The 24,216-nt window shown below is 40.8% G+C and overlaps 1 protein-coding gene across 2 annotated transcripts in view; it reads right to left on the bottom strand.

The window, feature by feature from the left end:
• Positions 1 to 1,814: 1,814 nt before the first annotated feature.
• The window catches only part of CIMIP6 (ciliary microtubule inner protein 6), a 53,310-nt gene continuing 30,908 nt past the window's right edge, over positions 1,815 to 24,216 (bottom strand). Inside the window, exons 7-8 of one of the 2 annotated variants that reach the window (XM_047443325.1) lie at positions 4,023 to 4,162; positions 1,815 to 2,961 (exon numbers count right to left, since the gene is read on the bottom strand). The gene's annotated coding sequence lies outside the window, so the exon portion shown is untranslated. The remainder of the gene's footprint in view (positions 2,962 to 4,022; positions 4,163 to 24,216) is intronic. The other variant, XM_024452687.2, reaches the window with a different exon arrangement.

Here is a 24,216-nt window from a genome sequence, read left to right as displayed (position 1 = left end):
AATCAGTGATCTATTTAAAATAATATTACATGGTTATGCCACTTTAAGCAATACTAAAATTTAAAAAACTCTAATAATCTGGGGTCTTTTCTTGTTTTGTGAAGGTGTTCTATAATATTCTACTCCAAGGAACACATACGGAATGGACTTTCCCCTGAGAAGTAAGGGTTTTGTTTATGGGAAAAATAACTGTTGTTTGGGGGTGGAGATTTATAGTTACAAAAGTTTTTAAAAATATTTAACTTATTTGAAACAATAATAGAAAAAAAAACCCAAAGATCCAAGTGGTCATAATCGTCACCTTGATGAACTCCTCTAACATTAAAAAAGTAAAATTAGCCAGGCATGGTGGCTAACACCTGTAATCCCAGCACTCAGGGAGGCCAAGGCAGTTGAGCTCAGGAGTTAAAGACCAGTCTGAGCAATATGGTGAAACCCTATGTCTACCAAAAAAACCAAAATATTAGCCAGTCATAGTGGCCCACGCCTGTGGTTCCAGCTACACAGGAGGCTGAGGCAGGAGGATTGCTTGAGCCCAGGAGGTCAAGGCTGCAGTGAGCTATGTTTGCATCACTGCATTCCAGCCTAGGCAACAGAGCAAGACCCTGTCAAAAACAAACAAACAAACAAAAGTGAGCATGGGAAACAAATGTCTCTTTCCTTCTGCTTCAGTCCCCAAAGTTAAATGTTGAAGTACAATATTTTTCATTTCAGGAAAAAAAAAAGTTTTCAGTAAGGAAAGTTTAAGCTTTCTTTGTGGAGAATTGGAACAGACATAAATGTGAACCTGAAGTGGAGACAGGGTGATGACTTAAGACTAATGCCAATTCTGAGCAAATCAGAAAGGAAGCCTGGGGCATTGCTCTCCTTAAAAGAGTATGAGACTATTTATTACTTATCTACTCCCTAGGTACGGATAGTCTTCCTTTTCCCATGGTGCACAGGCTGCATATTTTGGAAATATAGTTGTTTTTAGCTTAAATCTGATAGTTTTAACTCAGCAAGTTTGCTGAGACTGGTTTTCTGGCAGAGAGTGCCGTCCCCATCTTTGTTAAGGCTGACCTGCTGTGGTGCTGCCAGGGACTCATTTACTGCCTTTTTTCCTCGGTACACAGGGCACCCACTCTTTCACTCCATTACCATGTTGTTCTGGCGAGAACAATTAAGCCTTTGTCATGCTCTGAGTCTCCCCGCCTGGCCGTGAATGGGCACAGGTTTCTAGTGAAACGGCACCCATCGCTATGTCCCTGTCCTCTCCTTAAAAGGTGCCTGTAGATTTCAGCAGCTTTCCTTAATGAATCGGCTTTTCAGAAAAGTTCTAAATTTGTTTGATGTCCTGAAGCACTTGAGGCTCTTGATCTAAAAGTAGACATTATGAAGAATTTCTTAGTATTCTCTAAGCATGCTTTCCATCCAGTGAATGAGTCTCTTTATGTGTTCTAGCCACTGGCACCCTAAAGTTCAAAGACATACAAGTAAAAAGGGCCATTTGTATGAGGGAAAAAATATTGGAGAGCAACAGGATTTTTTGATTCTTTGTGACCTTTTATGACATTTCCCCTTTTAACATATTGCTGTTTCTTCATTCACTTATTCATGCAGTCACTGACATAAATTAACCAACAACTGTACGTAAGACACTTTGTTAGGCACCATGTGAGATGCAAGGCTAACTGGGAGGGAGCATGTCAGAGTGGCTAAGGACGTGACTTTAGGAATCATCAGATTTGTCAGCTTGGCCTCTTCTGGGCTATGAGCAAGTCACTTTACCTCTCCCAGGCCCATATTTCACATCTGAAAAATCAGAGTAATAATAGTATTTACTTGAGAGGTTTATTGCGAGAATTAATTGAGATACATTGGCAAAGCACATACCACCAGGCGTCTTGTAATTTCTCATTTCATGTTTGTCTTAGTCCGGTTTGTGCTGCTATAACAGAATACCAAAGACTGGGTAATTTATAAAGAAATGAAATGTATTTGGCTCATAGTTCTAGAAGCTGAGAAGTCCAAGATGGAGGGGTTGCACCTGGGGAGGGCCTTCTTGCTGTGTCATCCCATGTCAGAAGGCAGACAGCCAAGAGAGTGTGCAACAGAGAGAGTGTGAAGGGGGCCTACCTTGTCCTTTTATAAGAAAATCGCTCCTGAAATAACAGCATTAATCCATTCATGCAGGCAGAGCCCTCATGTCCTACTCACCTCTGAAAGGTCCCACCTCTTAATACTGTTACAATGGCAATTAAGTTTCCAACACATGCTTTTGGAGGACACAGTCAAACCATGGCAATGTAGTTTTTTTTTTTTTAAAGCAACTAATAGACTAAAATGAAAAAATATATTTACGCGAATAATTATTTATGGTAGAGAACAATAAATGCTATGAGAAGTAAAAACGAGAGTATATTACATAGAATTAGCACTATCTACTATAGCAAACAAGTCCCAAATTTGTGGTTTAACATGATAGGGGTGGCTTTCTAGGGTAGCACTCCTCCAAATGACTCAGAGGTCCTGGCTCCTTCTGTCCTTTGGCTTTCTAGAGCTTCATTCACTTCAACACAAAACTAGGAAAAAACAGTTTGTGTAAAACATTATATGGAATGATTTGTAGCTAAGCCTGTATATAAGCTGCTTATTAATCTGTTAGTTATCTGTTTATGACAGGTATTAACATGATTTAGATGGGATCAGGAATTCAACAGCAGCTTAACTGGATGGTTCTGGCTCTGGGTCTGTCATGAGACTGCAATCAAAGTTTGCCCATGCCATGGTCATCTGAAGGCTTGAATGAGATGGGAAGATTCTCTTCCAAGAGGACTCATGACTGTAGGCAGAAGGTCTCAGTTCTTTGCTGGCTGTTGGTGGGAGGCCTTAGTTCCTTGCCATGTGGCCCTCTCCACTGGGCTGATTGAGTGTCATTACAACATGGCCATAGGCTTCCCACAGAGCCAGTCACCTCATCTGAGAGGGAGGGAGGGGAGAGGGAGGGCAGAGGGAGGGGAGAGAGAGAACACATAAAGCGGAAGCTTAATGGCTTTTATGATCTAGTCTCAGAAGTCATATACTGCCATCTCCGCCGTATTTGTTCATTAGAAGAGAATCACTATGTCCAACCCCCACTCAGAAGAAGGGGAATCAAGTTCCACTTCTTGAAAGAAGTAGTATCAAAGAATTTGTGAACATATTTTCAAACCACTACAGTCTAGAAATGATGAATATCACTTCTGTCTGCATTCTGTTGGCATAAATCCGCCACATGGTCCAATTAAGTGAATGTGAAATGTGGTTTATTTGTGAGCACAGGAAGGAGAGGAGAATGGAATATGGGGTAGAAAACATCTGTGTTTATTAGCATGTGGAGGGTCTAGTTAGTAGATGCAAAGGAGGAGGTTAAGACTGAAGGGAAGAGGTGATATTTGAATATAGGTAGGATTTGAAGAGGTAGAGATACTGGAGAGGATATTTCAAGTGGAAAAATAAAAGGGCATGGAGGCAGGAAATGAGATGGCTGTAGCATGGGTGAAATGAAGTAGCTAAAGATCAGGTTGGAAAGGCATGCTGGGACCACCAGAAACTGTAAAAATGGAATCTTTCGATTAGTTGCAATGTTTTATAATTAATTCTTCATTGTTTATATTGCTTTTCAGGGCATATCTATAATGGCCACATTATCAATGATTTTCATAAGTAAACATGTTACTGCACTGGCTCAGTTTTATTGTTCTCAATTTCTCTTGAATATTTACTCTTAGAGCTCTTTGGACATTGATAACAATATAGTGATTTAGAATATTGTGTAGTATTGAGTACCCAAATGGTACTGATATTTAGAGAAATGGCTAAAAGAGAAAGGAAATTAGAATGTTTGTTGTCTTTCATTGTTCACATTTCTATAGTAGGAAATTTGTGCTTTGTAATCAGACTGACTTTATTAAGTTCTCTTCAGCCACTTAGGGAGTGAGCTACCTAACTTCTCTGGGCCTTAGCTTCCTCATTATAAAAATGAAACTGCTAATACTTACTGTGAATGTATTTCAAGGAGAAAATAAGATGGCATGAAACCACCTAAAAAAACATGCCCGTGATCTCTCTGTTCCTTTTCTTCCTGCACTGTGGCACAGGACCACTGTTACAGTCTTGGCTCCTTTTCTCAAGGTTTCATCTGGAAGGAAGACAAGAACACCCACTGAAAAATTATGGGAAAAAGTCTGATGGTTTACAATCAAGCGTTAAATCAGATGGAGTTCTGAAATGTGCCCATGATGGAAAAGTCATTCAAGCCTCAAAAGGGCAGATGGCACAGGAGTGAAAGGATGAGGAAGGCTGAATAGGCTCATAAAATCATAGATTTCAGGATTGGAAAGGTCTTTGAAGAACAGCATAGCAAGTAGTTGAAAGGATGGGGTTTGAAATTAGGCAAAGCCAGGTTCTAATCGTTTCTTTGTTCCTCGCTAGCTGTATACCTTTGGACAGTTTATTTCATCTCTCAGTCTCAGTTTCCTTATCTGGAAAATGGGAACAGTAACGTTCCCTGTAAGGGGTATTAAGAAAACGTGAGAAAACATAGGTAAACTACTTAGGGCAATGTACAAAGTAAGCCTTAGTAAATGGTAGCCTTTGATTTGTGGAGCCTTTTTATGGTAAGTAAAGAAACAGGCCTAGAGAGTTGTAACAACTCGCTCAACATCATTTGGGGGTCAGTTAGGAATTGGAGTAGAACCTCAGATTAGAACCAGCATGAACAAAGGCATAGAGGTTGGTAATATCATATCACATTGGTCTGGAACAGAGAAGGCAAGGGAAGGTTTGGGCAGAGAACGGTGGGGCAGGACCAGGCCTTGAAAGCAGGAGAGCAGCTTGAGCTTGATGCAGGAAAGAGGGAAATGTGATCTCAAATTCCTGGGCAGAGAGATGTTTTTTGCAAGCATATTCTGAGACTTCACTGCAAAGAGATGAATGATATAATTAATACAATAGACTTTGACTCAGAAATAGGAATACAGTCATTCAGCCACAAAACCCAGTGGAGAAAGACCTCCTAAAAGGCACCCAAGGCGTTTCGGCATTCTTAACCCGTAGTCAAGGAAACAAGAAGACTAAAAAAGATATCGCCACAGAAACACTGTTTTGAAAATATCTGTAGAGGAAAGAGGAAAACCAACTACGTCTTTTGTGCCCATGTTCCCATGGTAGCACGTGTCTGTACAGAATGCTTGGTAAGGCATGGGTGTAATCATGCGTATGTGTATGTCTGTGTGGGCATGTGTGTGCGTGCACACATTGTGTATGTCAGAGGCAAGTGTGGGAACTAGGTGTGGAGGACACATAGCCCTGGCTCATGTGGCCCTGCAGTTAGGGGAGAGCGTATCAGCACAAGGTCTCCCTGTAATGTCGACAGGTAGATAAGGAATTCCCAGGAGCTTTTTGAGTGTTTTAACTCTTGTGCCAAATGAACTGTGGAGTAGCATCTCAGAGGTCACTTTGGGTCAATATAGAAAGTTATCAATCAGCTGGAACCTGGAACCTTGAATACATGCAAATGAGAAGACATTCCAGGTGGGAGAAGGCAGTGTGATGTCATGGGAAGAACTGAGGCAGTGCAGGGGGGTTGGGGGATGCGGCATGGGGAGGCGGTCAGATGTATTTGCTTTGGAATCCAGGCTTGTACTAACTCACTGAAGAGCCTTTGGCAATTTGTCTCATCAATACATTAGTGTCTAAGAGTCATCAGTGAAAGAGAATAATAAAGTATACATTTAGTGGTATTGTAAACGTCAAAGGAGGTATCATAAATACAAGCACTGAGCATATAGGAGGCACAGAACACATTTATTTTCCTTCCTTCTTTTTTATTTTATTTTTTTGAGATGGGGTCTTGCTCTGCTGCCTAAGCTGGAGGGCAGTGGAGTGATCTTGGCTCCACTGCAGCCTCAACCTTCCAGGCTCAAGCGATCCTCCCACCTCAGCCTCCTGAGTAGCTGGGACTAGAGGTGCACAACACCACACCAAGCTAATTTTTTTTTTTTTTTTTAGAAGGACTTTCACTCTTGTCACCCAGGCTGGGGTGCAATGGTGCTATCTCGGCTCACTGTAACCTCCACCTCCTGGGTTCAAGCGAGTCTCTTGCCTCAGGCTCCTGAGTAGCTGGGATTACAGGCACATGCCACCATGCTCGGCTTCCTTTTTTTTTTTTAAGTGGAGATGGGGTTTCACTATGTTGGTCAGGCTGGTCTCAAACTCCTGACCTCAGGTGACCCACCCACCTTGGCCTCCAAAGTGCTGGGATTATAGGCATGAGTCACCATGCCTGGCCAACTTAATTTTTTGAATTTTTGTAGAGACAGGGTCTCCCTATGTTGCCCAGGCTGGTCTCAAACTCCTGGGCTCAAGGAATCCCGCCTTGGCCTCCCAAAGTGCTGGGATTACAGGCATGAGCCACCATGCCTGGACTTTCTTTGCCCTCCTAAATAAGGGATTCTCGAAACTTAGACTACTTAAGAATCACCTAGGAGATGCAGATCTCACCTCATCCCCAAGAATCTGATTCAAAAGCCTGCAAGTATGGCCCAGGAATCTGCATATGAACTAGGGCCACAGGTGATCTGATGAGGTGATCTAATAACCACACATTATGAAACACTAGAAGAGTGAGAACTGGAGAAAAAATAGAAGCCAAAGGATAAAATGTGAAATGCTTCCCAGACGTCCTTTTTTGCCTGTTTTATGATCCACATGGATGAGGAGGCATTGTTAGGGGCAGCCAGGTCACTTTCCAGAGATGTCAGTCACAGCGGATCAGGCCAATAAACCACATTTATAGCAAAAGCCTTGTTTTGAAGTTGAATCAGTGTAATTTCCTTGTATGAAGCCAGGCTAGGAAACTGGAGCCCTAGAAGCTACTTTTTGCTGATATCTAATATCATTCATTTATTGCTTCGTTCATTTGTTTCTTCGTTGGTTTATTATTCATTCACAGGTTTGGGTGCCTGCTGCGTGTGAAGCTTAAGTAGAGGCTTGCGTGCCTGTCACATGAGGTTTACAGTTCATGTTCTCTGCCCTCAAAAACCAAAGATGTGAAAATAAGACATTTTAAATCCCTGCAAAGGACAGTAGTACAGTACTTTCATCACGAAAGCACAAACTTAGGAGTAGAGATAACAAGGTCTACAGCTGTAAGAATTCAGGACATGCGGGTCCAAAGAGGCTTATTTGAGCTTTTGGGAACCGAGCTGGGACTTGAAAAGGGAGTTTGATTTAAACAGAGTAGAGGGGACAACATTCCAGTTTTCTCCTTTGGTTGAATACTTCTTTTTCTGTATGGTTTTGTGAATTGTTATATATGCTTTAGTTATTTTTGTTAGAACCGGTACCTCTGCATTTTATTGTTAATTATAATATGCTCTGTTTCCTGAGAAAGCTGGGCATTTCTGTTTCTTCCTTTCTAGACAATATTTTGGTAATTTCACATGCATATTTTCCCAAATATCTTTCAAAACAAAATTTTGATGTTCTAAAAAAAATGCATTAACATATATAAAACATATGATTTGGCCAATTAATTAGGGAAGAATTTAAGTTGCTGCAATAGACTTCCTGTTTAAAAATGTTATTTTAAACTCCTGTTGGTTGAGCTTAGGTGCAGGCCTGCACCTGGATAAGCTCCGGAGGCTGCAAAGCCGTGTGAGGCTGGGATTTTTCGCAGGAAAGACTAGCACTGGTTATCCTGCGTTGGTAACCCAGGGGAATATTATCACCACAAACCCAGGTCAGTTTTGTTCACCTTCTGCCCCACAATGGCAACTCTAATTAAGAAGGTTAAACTACTGACTGTTCCCAGGTAACAGGATGATAAAGTCAATGTTTTTCCCAGCTGGATTCCCAAATCTGGTAAAAAGGAAAGGAGAACTAGGTTCAGCCTGCTGTGTCCTGATGCTCCCGGCTCTGCAGGGCTCTCTAAATAGCTCCCACCAATTAACGGGGGAATCTATGGGCACACGTTAAAGAGAAGCACTCACATGTACTAAGCTCCTGTTCTGGGCTGGGTGTTTCACGTATGTCAACCCTTATACTTCACACGTGCTCTATTTTTAAGTGTATTCGCTACCAGCTTTATCTTTTTCTTTTTACAACAATCCCACAGCTAATAAATATTATTAAATGAAGGCTTAAAGGTTAATGAAATTACACCTTGACACAGAGCAGTCACTGGTCTATTTGACTCCAACATCTGTGCCTTTCCTCATCTACACACTCTCCAGCCCCGACGCCAAGCCCAAGGAGCTGTGAATACAGACACCTACTGTTGCCACACAAACATACCTATGGACTGCTGAAAACACAGAGAGAGCTGGATTTTCATTAAGGAAATAATGACTGTGATTTTCCTGGGAAAAATAGTGTCTGTAGTATCTTGCAGTGTAGCAATCTCAGGGGTGTGCTGGAGCCGACTTGTATTGGCTTGCAAGAGCCAATTGTTAGGTTTTACAACCAGCTGAGAATTCCTGAAAATCTATCATTAGAAGTTAAATTATATAAATGTATGTAAACTATATAAACTATATAAATTATATAAATAAAATTATGTTAAAAATAAATGTCATAAATATTCACAAGTTATTTCCTAATCATTTTACTGCCCTTGATTATTGCCTCTTCTCTTGAGGTAGAAATACTATATAATGGTGCTATACACTGTACACATCTCTTCCCAATTGATATTCAGTTAAGTTTTGTTGGTAGCTTGACATCAGCCATGGGAGTTGTAGCTACACGACGGAAATTGGTCAATATTACGAATCAGGCTGTTGTTTTTCAGGGAGCGTGGGTTCAACGTTTATCAGCACACCATGGAGAGTATGCAGACACGAGCCGTAAATTCCCTTTGTAAGGGAATAAACAGTCCACAAGGGCTGATGAATAGCTTCTGTAAGCCCAAGAGTGCTAGCCTCTCCTTTGAGACTTGGCCGAGAGAACCGAAGTCAGGAAAACGGACTGCTAAGGTGAGAAGTAAAGACTGTTCTTCAGAAGGACACTAGGTCATTCACAAAATCCTGGCATGCAAACTCTTGTGTGAACTTCACAGTGATCCTGGAAGGTAGTGCCTTTGCCCTCCAGGAAAACCAAGACTAATTTCTTGTGCTAACAGTGCCCAGCTGGGAGAAGCCCTGGTGTGTAGCTAATACTTTTTCCAAATACTTCAGCTTCCTGGGCCTCAGTGCAAATGGTCAAGCAGTGGTGGCCCTGGCTGTTGAGGTGTGTGAACACCATTCACAGCAGTTGGTGGCATGTGGTGTCTGGCAGGCTTTCTTTAACTCACTCCATGTTACTCCTCATCCTGGGCACTGCCAGCCCACTGCACCAATGAGTGTATAGTGCGTTATCCTGGGTGACTGTCACCAAAGGTCAGATTTATGTCCATGGGAATAATTGCCTGGAAATGAGTAAGATGGAGTAATTGGGATGAGGGTCAGAAATGAAATTCATAGCCTCAAATGTAAAATCATGTCTATTCCAGTGAAGGAATTTCTACCCCAAGAGAGGGGCCACAAAGCGAACTTGAGATTTTAAGGTAACTGTGATATTTTAGGGATCCTTAAGACTTAGTGAGTTGGTACTTACGACGACAGGAATATAGTTAAGGATGTCTTTGGATTTTATTTTTCTTCAACTGTTTGCATGAAAAAATTAAAAAACAGGCTGAGCACTGTGGCTCATGCCTGTAATCTCAGCACTTTGGGAGGGTTGCAGACCAGCTCGGGCAACATGGTGAGAGCCTGTCTCTACCCAAAAAAAAAAAAGGTAGAAATCAGCCAGGCATGGTGGCATGCACATGTGGTCCCAGCTACTCAGGAGGCTGAGGCAGGAGGATTGCTTGAGTTGGGGAGGTTGAGGCTGTAGTAAGCTGTGTTCATGCTAATGCATTCCAGACTTGGCAACAGAGTGAGTCACTGTCTCAAGAACAAAACCAAAAATGTTAAACAATTTTTGTCACTGTAAAAATTTTAAACAACATTGAAGAGTATAAAGCTAAAAAAGGGAGTTGCTTCTTTATCTCTACTTTCCAGGGATAGTCACATTATGGTGAGTAACCTTCCAAAACGTCACACACACACACACACACACCCCCTATATGATTTGAAAATTTTAAAACAAAAAATTGGAACATACTACCTATATCAATAGCTTTGTGACTTGCTGTTAGTTCACATGTATCTTGGAGAAGATCTAGCCCATGCTCAAATGCACAGTAGAGAATTCCATTGTGCAGATGTATCATAATGTATTTTAAAAGTTCCCTTGTGGACACTGAAGTTTTCTTCAATTGTTTACACTTAATATAGCAAATAGATGTCCTTGTAAATATGCTCTTGTTTTCTTGTATAGTTATTTCTGTAGCATAGACACCAAGGAGTAAAATTGTAAAGTAAAAACATATACACGTGTACAATTTTGATAACTTTTGTCAAATTGCCCTTCTAAAAGGTTGTACCTATTCTCTCACATTAAAGTACCTGCTTTCCCCCTTACCCTTACCAACATTGTATATAAACAATCTTTTCAGTTTTTACCCAACTATAGGGGAACATTTGTATTTTGTTCATCCTTTGCAATTACTTGACAGTATTTATTCTGTATTTCTTCTGTGAATTGCCTGTTTAGCCCCTTTGCTATTTTCCTTATTAACTTGATAACTTTGTTACTGATTTGTATGAGCTCTTTATATAAAACTTTTAATATCTTTATATATTAGGAATATTAATACTTTGTTATCTTACAAATATTTTCTCCCATTCTTCCCTTTATCTTTTAACTTTATTAAAGTTACATTTTTTGCTATGTCAACACTTTACATTCTTTTGTAGATAAACCTGCTGTTCTGTTCCTTCACAGCTTCTGGGTTTGGGGTCTTGTTTGGGATATTTTTAAATGCTGGTAAGGTAGCTGGAAACCCTTGAGAAAAAGAAGCCTTAAAAGTTTGAAGAATTAATGTCATAAAAAGGTACCCAGCATTTATTAATACTGCACTAGATATTCTATTATGTGTGAAGCAAAACAGAAAAATAATTCTCCAGTAAGATTAATAAATGCTTTTTGCAGATCAGGGAAGAAAATGCAGTGGGGAAGGCTGCACGGAGCCTTCTGTGCACTGCAAACACGCAGGGGAGTGGGGCGAGGGGCCAGCGGAAAACTGAAAGGGGGCCTTGACATGTGTATTTCATCATTTGCTCTAGAAGCAAAATTTAGCACTGGCTGATTCTGCCTTTATTTTTCCAAGAAAAAAGACACAAAAGAGAATTAGAAATCTGTTAAGTCCTCTGTGTTACATCCAAGTTCAGGCTTATCCCAGCCTTTTCTTTCCGATACCCATTTTGGATAATGTGCATAAAATTCCTATGAAGGGAACAAAATGTGAAGACCTGGTTGATATTTAAGTTCTTTAAATGGAGTCAAACTATCCTGTTAATTTGGAAAGATTCATTATTGGTTCTGTAAGCATTATTTTACCTTTACTTAAAATTTTAAAATCCTAATTCTCCTTTCCCCTGAGATAGTTTGTTCTTTATACTTTAAAATGCCATCCATGACTAAAGGAAAGTCCAAACAAGTTTTATAATCTCATCTCTCAATCAGATCACTCAAATTTAATTACTCAGAATACCTTGTTTTGAAAAGGACTTCCAGCACTTTTCCAGTACTTAAAATATCTCATTAAAGAACAAAAGAAAAGAAAAAAAGACTTCCATTTTCAGCATGTTAGGATTCCATCTGTAAGAATTAAAGAGTAGGGCAAGACATGCTCAGATAAAATGGGAAAATCAGTTACTATGGAGAGTATGGAGTAGAAGAGAGAAAGGAACATGGCAGGCATGCTGCACAGTACGGTACAGGCTAAGGAGGTAAGAAACGGCACTGCTGACCTCAGGAGTCTGGGTGCCATTGGCTAGGCAGTACATAATAACGAAAGTGAATTTGTCATTTTAATAGCCAGGAATAAATATGACCTCATGGGCATTCATGGGACTTGATGTGGAGACTTAATGGCAGAATAAAGGAAGGGAAGAATAGACTCTGTCTAAGAGAAACAGACTATTAGGAAGATAAATATGTGAGCAGAAATTCATAAACCAAGGATGATGCCCTGCTGGAGAATAACAGGTGCAGGGAAGAGATGGGAGGGCTGGAAGCAGCACAGAAGCAGGCAAAGCCCTAACTCACCTGACTTTTTGGGAGACTTCCACTGTTTGGCCATTACTCAAGCCTCCTTCAGCCCAAGGACATAGGTGGAGGTCACTGATGCCATGCCAAGGAGTTGTGTCTTTATTGAATAGGCAGCCACCTACAGTTTTTGAGGAGGAGGCAAAGTGTTGGGGCTGTAATTTAAGAAGACTAATTATACTAGGGTGAAGATTACTCTCTGAGGGCAGCAGCAGAGGAGCTCCTAGAAGCATTTGCAGGGCACGTATTATATCCCAGGAAGGCTACCTGGCAAGCCCTGGAACAAGTATAGAGACAGGAAGTGTTGCAAAAGCGACACACAAACCAGGGAAGGATAGGATGGCCATGAAGGAGCATTTATTTGTGCTGCGGGGTTGGAGGGGGAGCTTCTGAGAGGGTGATATCGGCACTAGGCCTTGGAGAAAGAGTAAGAAGTTACAGCCATGGGGGGTGTGAAGGCCTGGGCAGCCCAGGCGGCAGCATGAGGAAGGAAAGAAACACAAGCATGCGCGGCAGGTTCCGGAAAGACTGAGCAGCCAGCGCTGGGCTTGGAGCGTGGCTGGTTGGAGAGGGGCTGCCCGACTGTGAAGGTTGTGTCACTCCTTCAAGCAGCCATGGGGAGCCCTTACACAATTTTAAGCAAGGCTGAGATGGATACTACTCAGGTGCATCTGGAAAGACCAGTTCCAGCTGCAGTACGGAGAAGGGACAGGGTGTGAGAAGGTGAATTCAGGTCAGTAGGAGACCACTGCCTGTGGATGAGGGGAGTGGTAAGGTCCTGAACTATGGAAGGCGGGGCAGTGGGAATGGAAAAGAGGACTCAGAGGGACCCATTGGTGACCTAAGACACCATTAACTGGAAAGCAGAACTATACGAGGGGAAACGTAGGAGGTAGAGATGACCCTGGTTTGAAACATACCAAGAGTGCCAGTTAGCTATTGCAGTACAATAAAGGACCCCAAACAGAGCAGCAAACACCACCACTTTGTTATGCAGTAGGTATGACTTGTCCCTCCTCCTTAATCTGGGGCCTTAGCTAAAAAGACTGGGCTCAAGTGGCTGGGTCTGAAGAAGAGCTGGAGCTGCAAGGGCCACTTCCAAGATGACTTTTCCACTCATGTGCCTGGCACCCTGGGGAAGAGTGCAGGCTGGACTCTGCCAAGACTGCTGGTTGGCATGACCTCACAGCACAGCAGCCCCAGAGTAGTCAAACTTCTTACATGGTGGACTTTTATGACCTCTTCTTAGAAGTCTCCTGTCATCACTCCTGCCTTGCTCTGTTGGTCTAAGCAGTCACAAGCTTGCCCAGATTCGCAGAGGGGACACAGACTCCACCTCTCAATAGGAGGAGCTTCAAAAAGCCTGAGGCCGTGTTTTACAACCACCACGATGAGTGACATAATAAAAACAAGGGGACAAATACGGCTACAGGTACACTCTGCAGATGCCAGCAACCGACTGAAGATGAGGCTAAGGAGGAAGGAAGCCTTATGATAAATATGAACACTGACATTTCCTGCGTCATAATATCATTGCTGGTGATGAAGAGGGTGGGCATGGAATCTGACGACCTGGCTTGAAGATCGGCTCCACTGCATAGTTACAGTTTGACCACAGGCAAGTTTCTTAATCTCTCTGCTCCACCCCACATTCTTTATCTGCTGTCCCATTTTAATGATTATAATAATAGTGACCTACTTTAAAAGGTTGCTGAGAATGCTAGCTAAAACATACACAGTTCATAGAATAGTTCCATGAACGTTAGCAGCTATTGTTGTCAGAGCACCACCACATGTACTATCTCATTTATTCCTTCCTAGGACATCTGATGTAGCTGTTCACATTATCATTTAACAGATAAAGGACCCAGACCCGGAGGGGTTAGGTAGCATTCTCAAGGTCACACAGCCAGCAAGTGACAGAGCCGTGACTTCGGAAACCTGCTTTCCTGCTTCCATAGACTCAGTTCTTCCCACAGCTGCGCAGCTGCTCCCCAAACAGGAGCATGCCTGGAACCACTCCTGTGCCCACCCACATTGTGGGATTAGCTTCCTGGCCAACCCACTGTGTTTCTGGCACTGAAGCTGTCCTCCCAGGAGATGCCGCCTGGGCTGCCCTTGCCTTCGCCCACCACTGGCATGTCTGAAATTTACTAGAAGCAAGATGTGGAGAACTGCAACAGCAGGTGTGATGCCTGCAGGCACCCAGCCTCCCTGCTGGAAAACTCCAGACAGCTGCCTTTGGTGTGGAGTGGGGGTGGGGTATAGCCCTTTCCCCAGGGCCACTCAGAACTGAGGACCAAACTCATCAATGCATGGCCATTCCCTTGGGACCGCACCAGAACAGAAGCCAGGCCTAGATGTGCCTGCCCAAGATGACTGTGGGTGAATGTGGAATAAGGATGGGCCTGCCTTCCCCCTAAAGACCCAATAGGAGCCAGCACCCTGGTGAAGGGTGTCAGCCCCAGTGGTGGCACCTGCAGGGTACACCCTCTTGCTTCCTGGGGTCTCCTCTATGACTGAGCTCTGCACTTCACCTCCCTCTCTCAACCCTCCCCATCTTCCCATGTGGGGGGTTCAAAAATCAAGCAAGGAAATAGAGCAGTGACATGTTTCCTCTTTCTTCTTAAACAGCCTAAAAACATGGACACATCTGTGAGAAAATTAATCTATCAACCCATCGGGCCCTGCAACTGCCTGGAAAGGAATAACAGTGTCTGTAGCTTTCTGTTAAAGGTCACCCTCTAGGCCCTGAGGAATTTTTCCTGAATTACAAAGAAGGAACAGATCAAATGCCTGTCATAACACACTTCAGAAAACAAGGAGCAACCAGAAGTTCCCATTCATCTAAGGAATCTTTGAAAATCCTGCCCTGGGTGGAGTGACATTTGCTAACAATAAAAACAGTTCACTTGGCAGGCGACCCTGGGTACGGCCAAAGTTGACGGGGGCAGACTACCCCTCCAGGGACTGTCTCACCTCTCAAGACTTCCAGGAAGTTCAGGAGAACGTCAGGAACTCTGCTATCCTGGCCTTGGTGGGTCACAGCCCACCCCTCCATTCAGGCTTCCTCTCCATGCATGTCACAAGGGAAGCAGGCCCCCGCAACAGAACTTTCTCCTAAAGATCAACAGGCTGCTTCAACTTTTCCCACAGTTCAAACTAACCAGTGTCAGCTTAGGAGTCACTAGGCAGAACTACTCAGATTTGTGTGTTTGAAGTTATTTCGGTTCTTGCCCAATTCAGACTCTTGAGAGAACTCTGGATGGCAAAACCAAAAAACATGTCAACTGTATGGCAAGTTCTGTATTTCCAAGTTTACTAGTCGTCTTTACATGTTTTTTTTTTTAGTACTAAAAATAATTGTAATACACCTTTGAGTGGATTTGCAAGGTACTTTTTATGAGTAACATTTTATAATTTCCACAACACTCTTGTAAAGGTGGCAGGGAGCTTTAACTTTTTTCCTGCTTCCTTCTCTGAAAATGTAATTTTGACTTTCTTTCTTTCTCTTGTCTTTTTCCTTTCTCTTTTTTTGAGACAGAGTCTTACTCTGCTGCCCAGGCTGGAGTGCAGTGGCATAATCTTGACTCACTGCAACCTCCACCTCCTGAGTTCAAGTGATTCTCCTGCCTCAGCCTCCCGAGAAGCCGAGATTACAAGCACAAGCCACCACAACTGGCTAATTTTTATATTTTTAGTAGAGATGGGGTTTCACCATGTTGGTCAGGCTGGTCTTCAACTGACCTCAGGTGATCCACCTGTCTCGCCCTCCCAAAGTGCTAGAATTACAGGTGTGAGCCACTACACCTGGCTGACTTCTTTTTCTTAATAGTTGGCAAGACCAAAATATAGGACTAAAGTAGTATGGAATTACTCTATGTTTTTGTACTGTGTGAATTCCCCAGCAATAATGTTAGAAGCAAGGTGAAGGAAGGAACATCTCACTTGGCTGTTCTGCAGTGGGGATGCCCTTCATGCCCCTCACTGAATTCTTTTAATAACTCTAGCAACTTTGGTGTGATTGGTGTGATGAAAAATGTCAGCATGGCATTGGTTTACAAACTACCTTGTGGCCTGGGAAATCATATATCAGAAAACAAATGCACTCAGTAGTCTTCTTCCTCCTTTCAAAACAGTGCTTTGCTGTAACCAACGAATTGGCCTGGTTATTTAAACAACCATTTTGATTTGCCAGTGAAAATTTTCATGGGCTCGTGAAGAGATAATGAAACTGTACATCTATCTGGTTGCTTTACAAATTCTAAAGCACTTTCAAATCAGTTTTCTTTCTTAATGTGATCCTTAAGATGACCCACAACCCAAGTAGAGTTGCTCTAATTGTTCTTGCTTCATGGACTAGAAAACTGATGTTCATGTAGATGAGATGAACTGCTCCAAGACCTGCCGTAGGGTTAGAAACCAGATTTTTCAGCGTTTGGTCTAAGCTGTCTCCCCAGTGATGTAAAGGATTTTTTTTTTAGCCTCCTAAGATTATTGTTAGATGGTATGAGTCAAAATGTCTGTAAGTCCAGGTTCATTTCACATCAGGCAGACACACATACACACCAAATACACACACACCCCCACACACAAATTCCTGACACATTTTGCCTTTCGCAGTGTTTTGGTAACTGAGGAGTTAAGTGCTTGTCATGAGAGGAAAATTGTCCTGTGACCCAGTGTGATGGCTGCAGGCTCCTGTGGCCTGGTATGCTTTGTGCATACGATGCATGCAGTACCAATTCAAGCGTGAGGTCCCCAAGACCACCCTCATGTTTGATAATTTGCTAGAAGGACCCCAGAACTCACTCCCTCACTCCAGAGCTCTTGTATACATTATTATGGTTTATTACAGTAAAAGAATCAGATTAAAAATCAGCAAATAAAAGAGGCATATAGGGCAGGGTCCGAGAGAATTCCAAGCATGAGCTTCCAGTTGTACTCTCCCAGCAGAATTGTGGACAGTGCTGACTTCTGTCAACAACAATGTGTGATGATACATGGCATGGAGTAATGCCAATCAGGGAAACTACCTGAGCCTTGGTGTCCAGAGTTTTTATTGGACTTTGTCATATAAGACATGGTTGACAGCTGTGTGGCTGACTTCAGTCTCCAGTCCCTCTGGAGGTCAAGCAGATGCCATGTGGCCCAAGACCCCTCACCATAAATCACACTGACTATCTGGCATGGCTCAATGCCCCCAAGTAAACAAAGACACTCTTCTCACGCAGGACATTCCAAGGTCTTAGAAGTTACCTCACAGGATCCAAGAGCAAAGGCCAGACCTCTCTTTGGGCCAGATTAATCCTTTATTGCATAGGCATGCACTAGGGTTATGGAAATCTCATATTGAAACCCAATGGAGGAGACTGCAAGCAGACATCTGACAGGGCTTTTCCTTTTGTCCTTCTAGCTCAGTGTTATTTTCTAGTGCATATAAGAATTACTGTACACAAAGCCATGTATACCAGACATCATAGGCTATCTAATGGCTTTCAAAGAAATTTTAACTTTATTGACTGATGTTTAAAAGTACCTTCCCACTATCCACAACTCCTACCACAACAAAATACATAAGCTGCTGATGAAACTACTGTAAAGAAACAAAAGCAAAAGCAAACAAATGAAATTGTTTTTACAGAAGAACCAAATGTGGAAATTCAATTTCTGTTAGTGCTACAATTAATATTCTAGTCATGAAAATTGTGTTAGGTCATAAGTTTCTTCAACTCTTTTTGCTTATGATTGTGAAACAAAGAGCTAGAACTCTGGGGACCATTTTTTGGGGGATGTCTCCTAGTGTAAGGTTGACTAGATAATGAGGAAATTATGTGACCTATAAGGTTACTTAAGATTAAAACTAATGTTTTCTCAATCTACAGACTTCAAAAAGTTTACAGAGTAATTTGAAGAAATTTTTGTAATAAAGAAAATATTGCAAGTAAGTAAAAAGTAACATATTTTCTCTATCTCTTGAAATCCATCTTTGGCTTTGTGGCCATAGAATAGCACCGGACTCTGCCTTCCTGGCTGAAATATTATAGAGCATCCTGATATATTTTACTGACCAAAAGCATTTTCTCCATAAATCTTAAGTTGGCAATGAAGTTCTGTGGTGGAAAGGGTTTTTCTTCTCCTTTTTTACATTTGATTTATAGCATACCCTTTCCTAGGGCCATGTTCCTTAGAGAATAGCAATTCTGACTAATGGTTTCATGCTGCCTGTCCTCCCTACATCATGAATACAAATACCCAATTACCAATAAATATATATATTTTTGTATGATACAGTAATAAACCTTGCAAATTTGCTTTTTCAAAAAAAATCCTGTTTCACAATAGATCAAACCAATAGTTTCCAGATTTTGGAATTTCACAGACCAGGAAAATTACCAATTTTTTTTGGAGGTTGGGGGAACTGACATAGGGTTGTCAGATATATATATTTTGCCAAATGAAGAAACTATAAGGGAAAAAGTCCCCTAGAATCTATTATCAGAATAATTTCATGAAAGAACATCCTCATAGTTAATATATAGGTTAATCAGTGTGATTTACTGATTTATTTGCCTTGCTTTTCTGCTTACATCCTAACTTTTTCTGTCTAGATTTAATATAAATGTTTTAAATGACATCTTTTAATATTTCAGTGAAGATCTGTGAGTAACTAACTCGATTAGTCATGGAAATGATGAAGCACAGTGATTAATCAAACCATGGAGTCTAGTTTAGAATGCCTGGGCTTAAATCCCAATTTGGCTATTTACTAGCTGGGTGACCTTGGGTAAGTTACCTTAACCTCCCTGTATCTTAGTTTCATCATCTCTAAGATGGTTATATTAACACTATCTACTTCAGAGGTTTTGGAGATTACTGAGTTAAAATATTTATATAGCACTGAGAATAGTACCTTGTACAGTTATATAAGTATTATCTAAGTGCTTGCAATTACTATTAATCTGTGTATGTCAGACGATGTCCATATTTTACCCTCATTCTTATAGTTTATTTTAGCATGGAGTTCTGTGTTGACCATTATTACTTTCAGTATTTTTGAGATATTACTCCATTGCTGCCTTGCATCCATTGTTGTGGATGAGAAGTCTGCTGACATTATGGTTGTCTTTCCTTTATAGGTAAGAGCTCTTTTATCTCTGATTTGTTTTTAAGGTTTTTCTCTTTAGATGTGATATTCTGTGGTTTCACTATTATGCGTCTATGTCTGGATTTCATTTTTCTAGTTCAAAATTGATTTTTCCCCTTCAGATTGAAAACTCACATCTTTCTTTAATCCTAGAAAATGCTCAATCATTGTATAAGTTAGGAGTAGAATTTGCTACAAGCGATTAAAGAAAACAACAATCCTAAATCAGAGTAGTTTATACAAGATAGAAGTTTATTTCTTTCTCATACAGATTAGGCCATCCAGGTGTGTTTGATGATGTCAGGGGCTCAAGGATCCTTGCATTTTATTGCTTCTCCATTTTAAGCAAGATGGCTAAAACCTTAAACTATCACAGCTGAATTCCAGCTACTAGAAAGAAAATAGTGCCTACATCCTCCCTTCAAGGACATTTTTAGAAGTTGCACATGCTGCTCTGGTTATATCCCAGAACATAGTAATATAGTCAACCCAGCTACAAGGGAAGCTGGGAAATACTGTCTTTATTCTGGTCAGCCAAATTTCCAGCTAAAAATGGGTGATTTTATTAGTAAGACAGAGGTAATGACTGGCTATTGGGAAACAAGTAGTAGTCTCTATCATAGCCATTTTCGTTTCAAATTTTTTCTCATGTTCCTTGTATAATATCCTTCTGGAACTCTTAATAACATTCTATTCTCTGTCTTCCTATTAATATTTTAAAAATCTTTTTGTGTTGCATTTTGTGAGATTTCTTCAGTCCTATCTTCCAATTTACTGATTTTCTCTTAAGCTATGTTTAATCTACTGAATTAAGTTTTTTAAAAATTAGACATTTTAAACTGTAGAATCTCTATAGCTTCCCTCCCAAATGTGCCTATTTTTATGGTGTTCTGGTCTTTCTGTATACTTTTTGTTTAATTTATAAAGAAATGAGGTTTAATTGGCTCATGGTTCTGCAGGCTGTTCAGGAAGCACAGCACTGGCATCTGCTTGGCTTTAGTGAGGCCTCAGGAAGTTTACAATTATGGCAGAAGGCAAAGGCAAAGGCAGAGCCAGCATATCACATGGTGAGAGCAGAAGCAAGAGGTTTCTGTATACTTTGTATTCTCTTATGTCTTGAGTCATTTTAAGTATACTTACTTTATATAGTCTATCTGTTCTATTGTCTGTAATTCTTGGCATATGAGTTCTGCTAACTCCTTTCCTGGGAAGTTTTTGTTCTTTCCTCTTGTGTTTTTGTTTTTAACCATCTCATCTTGGGATTTTTTTCCACATTGTCTCGTGTGTGCAGGCTTATTAATTGTCACTATGGGGCAATTTCTTGTTTGTTTTTAACAGGGTTCTTCAAGTTTCCTGGTTCAAACCAGTATTTCTGTTGCTTTCTTGGTTTGCATTTCCTTCTCATGAATACACACTGGACCCCACTCCTGTGCATAGCTCAGTTTGGTAGGTGTGTCATCTAGGTGGTAATGAATCTACTACCTCCCCTAATTCCCAGGCTAATGGGAGGAGATAACCCAGAATTATTTTCACAGCAGCAAAGCTCTTCTAGGATCCTGGCTCTTTGCACAGCTCCAACTCCACTGCACCTGGGGCTTCCATTCCCATTCCAGCTCAGGCATTAAAATCTCAGCCCACAAGTTCATCCTCTGATTCCAACTCTGCAATTGCTTATTTAGTCTCACCTCTTGCTCATTGCTTGTTTGTGTTCTCTCCATTTCTGGCACCTGAGGATTTTAATTTCTTGTTTTAGTGCTTAGTTGTATATTTCAAATGTTCCTGTTATATTTTATCCTACATTTATCTGTGTTCGGGATGATGGGTGCTTCCAACATCAACGTAGTCCGTTAAGGCAGTAAGGAGTCTAACAAAGAGTATTTTAAATCCCAAAATGCAGTAAAGTTGCAGTCTCTTCAATAAAAGAATTGAAGTTATTTGTCTTGATACTTCTTTATTCTATCCTTGTTTTTTCATTTGTTATGGGCCAGCATTGCCCTGTTGGTTAACATCTGGGAATTAATGGACCGGTTATTGAGAAACTCTGGATCTGGTCCTAGTTGCTTGCTAACTGCAGACTTGGGGAAATCATTTATGTTCTCTGTAAATAGCTGTGAAATGCAATTATTATTTGCCCTGCTTCATAGGATTATTATAAGAGTCACATAAGATAATAGATTTTAAAATGCTTCAGTACTTAACATATACAAATTTATGCTATTAATAGCAATGTTAGAAACCATTAGCACCTTCATTAAAGTATTTTTGACTTTAATAATAAATGATGGTTTTTGTTTTTGTTTGGTTTTCTTTTTTATTTTTTGTAATTTGAAAAATGATCTTGTATCCTGGTAAAGGCTATCATTCTTTGGAAATAATAAGGGAACTACTTGGAAACATTCAAATATTCTTGTGAAATTTAAGAGCACTACTTGTACTGACAGGCAGTTATGACTTTAATAGACTATGGAATTCATTTTGGAGAGACACACCCTTTGCATTTAAAAAAATAGAGACTTAAACCTGGAAATCATCATTGCATTTTATTACAGATTTCCCACACAATGGATACTGAAAGTTCAATGACTTTCAGTCATTGTGAGGAACCATAAACTTTTTATCTTAATGCAGAAAAGATGCCCTCATGTTTGAAAAGATTGAGAACCAACCTAGCCTGTGGTAGGAACCACTCACTGGGCTTATGACCCCAGACCATTCTCCTCTAAATTATGTGGGACACAAGGACTGTGTCAATCCTCAGTGACATTTGTCAGTCAACCATGAGGTCTGTTGCAGAGAATGTGTTATTTCCTAATGGTTAAAGTACTAAGTTTGCAAATGATTTAGAAAATTAGAGATTGACTCAAGATGGTGGACTGATCACACACAGCCACTCCCTGTTGCCCTCTAAAGTCCATAAAATGTAGATAAATATAGATAATGAAATCCATTTTAATAGAGTTAGAAAGCAGGGAAACTTATGATCAGAAAAAAAAATTTTTAAATAAATTTTGAAAGATATTACTAAAGAACTCACGTTTAGAAGAACAAAACTAAAGGAAACAAAAGCCTAACCTGTGTAGAGATGACCTGATAGTAGGTCTGATAGGACTACAAGCCTAGAGTCAATGAATATGAAGAGGTAGAAGAAGCCTTGGGCCATTTATCAACTTGAAAAGTTAGGGAACTGCATGTGGAGCAGCAAACCAGTCATTCCCTTTCTGTTTCCCTGCTATGTTAAGCCAGGGTAACTGTGGCATGAATCAAATCATACACTGGGGCTGGAGAAGCAGGGTAATGCCCAAGTAGCTACCGACCCCCAGGAAGACCAAAGAGCTCATCAGACAAATCATGTTCAGCTCCTGTCTACATCCCAAACTTGTCCCAAAGTCAGGCTATAGTCAACAGAAACTGATAATAACCTGGAAACCATATAATCCAAGAAGAGTAGACAATTAAGAGACGTGAAGCATTTGGGAAAAAGTACAATACCCAGAGTGCGAGGTTCACACTCAACAAACAAAAGTTAATAGAATTGAGAGAGCAAACAAAACATTTTAAGCATAACTACAATATCCTAGGAGAGATGATCATATCCATAATAGAGCAAGAGTCTTATGTACTGAGGAAACATGTATAGATTGGATATTAAATATATACTAAGTTTAATAGATGGTCAAATATTAAGTTTCAATAAATGGACTGGCATACCAATAGACAAGGCTGAAAAGCAAATTAGTAGAAAGTGTCACGGAATTCTTGCATTACTTAGTGGCGAAGTACCATGAGAAAGATAATGAGAGCCATGCACAGTGGCTCATGCCTGTAATCCCAGCACTGTGGGAGGCTGAGGTAGGCAGATAAATTGAGCTCAGGAGTTTGAGAACAGCCTGGCCAACATGGCAAAACCCTGCCTATACTAAAAATACAAAAATTAGCCAGGTGTGTTGGTGCACACCTGTAATCCCAGCACTCAGAAGGCTGAGGTTGGAGGATTGCTTGAACCTGGGAGGTGGAGATTGCAGTGAGCCGAGATCAAGGCACTGCACTCCAGCCTGGCTCTGGAGAGACTGCCTCAAAACAAAAAACCACACATACACACACAGACAGATAATGAGAGACATAGACGATAGATCCAAGTGTTCAAACATTTAGCTAATAGCTGTTCCAGAAAGAGGGAAGAGAAAGAATGGAAGGGATGGAAATAACAGAAAAGGCAACATAATAAAATTTTCTAAGGTGGAAAAAAACCAAGGATCTTCAAATTGAAAGTGTTTTAATTCTTTTATCTCCAGTTTTGAAATTATATGTTTTAATTCTTTTATCTCCAGTTCTGAAATTATAGTCATTCTTTTGTACTGCAGACTCTTGCTCAGTTTGGTTTTCTTCTTGGTGTGATTTGTAATTTTTGTTTGTGACTATCTTTAACAGGGATTCCTTTTTTGTGTTGATCATGAAACTCTCTCCAGGGAGGGTTTGCATTTGCTTTTGTCAGGGACTTCAGTGGTATCACTAGAGGAATTTTTTGGTTTTGTGTCCTAAGAGAAGTCTTACATGTAAATTCATATTCCTAACTGGAGCATGGTACAAGCTTGGGGTTTTACTTTTTCACAAGGAGTTTATTCACTATCCATAGCTCCAGGCAGAGGCAAATTTTCTTGCTATCTTCCTGGTTATATGAGTGGAGTGGAGTCTGCCTTGTACTGACAGGCCAGCCATTTGAGAGTTCTAGCTTTATGCAGATTTCAATTCTATCTTTCTACTTTGGAGGACATAAGTTTCCATCCCTGTTCCAATGAGGATAAAAATTCAAGTCCCTAGGCTTTAAGACCTTTTTCCAAACATGCTAACAACCT

Source organism: Homo sapiens, chromosome 2, assembly GCF_000001405.40.
Source record: "Homo sapiens chromosome 2, GRCh38.p14 Primary Assembly".
In the NCBI taxonomy this organism is placed as follows: Eukaryota; Metazoa; Chordata; class Mammalia; order Primates; family Hominidae; genus Homo; species Homo sapiens.
This window is presented reverse-complemented; position numbering and strand designations above follow the sequence as displayed.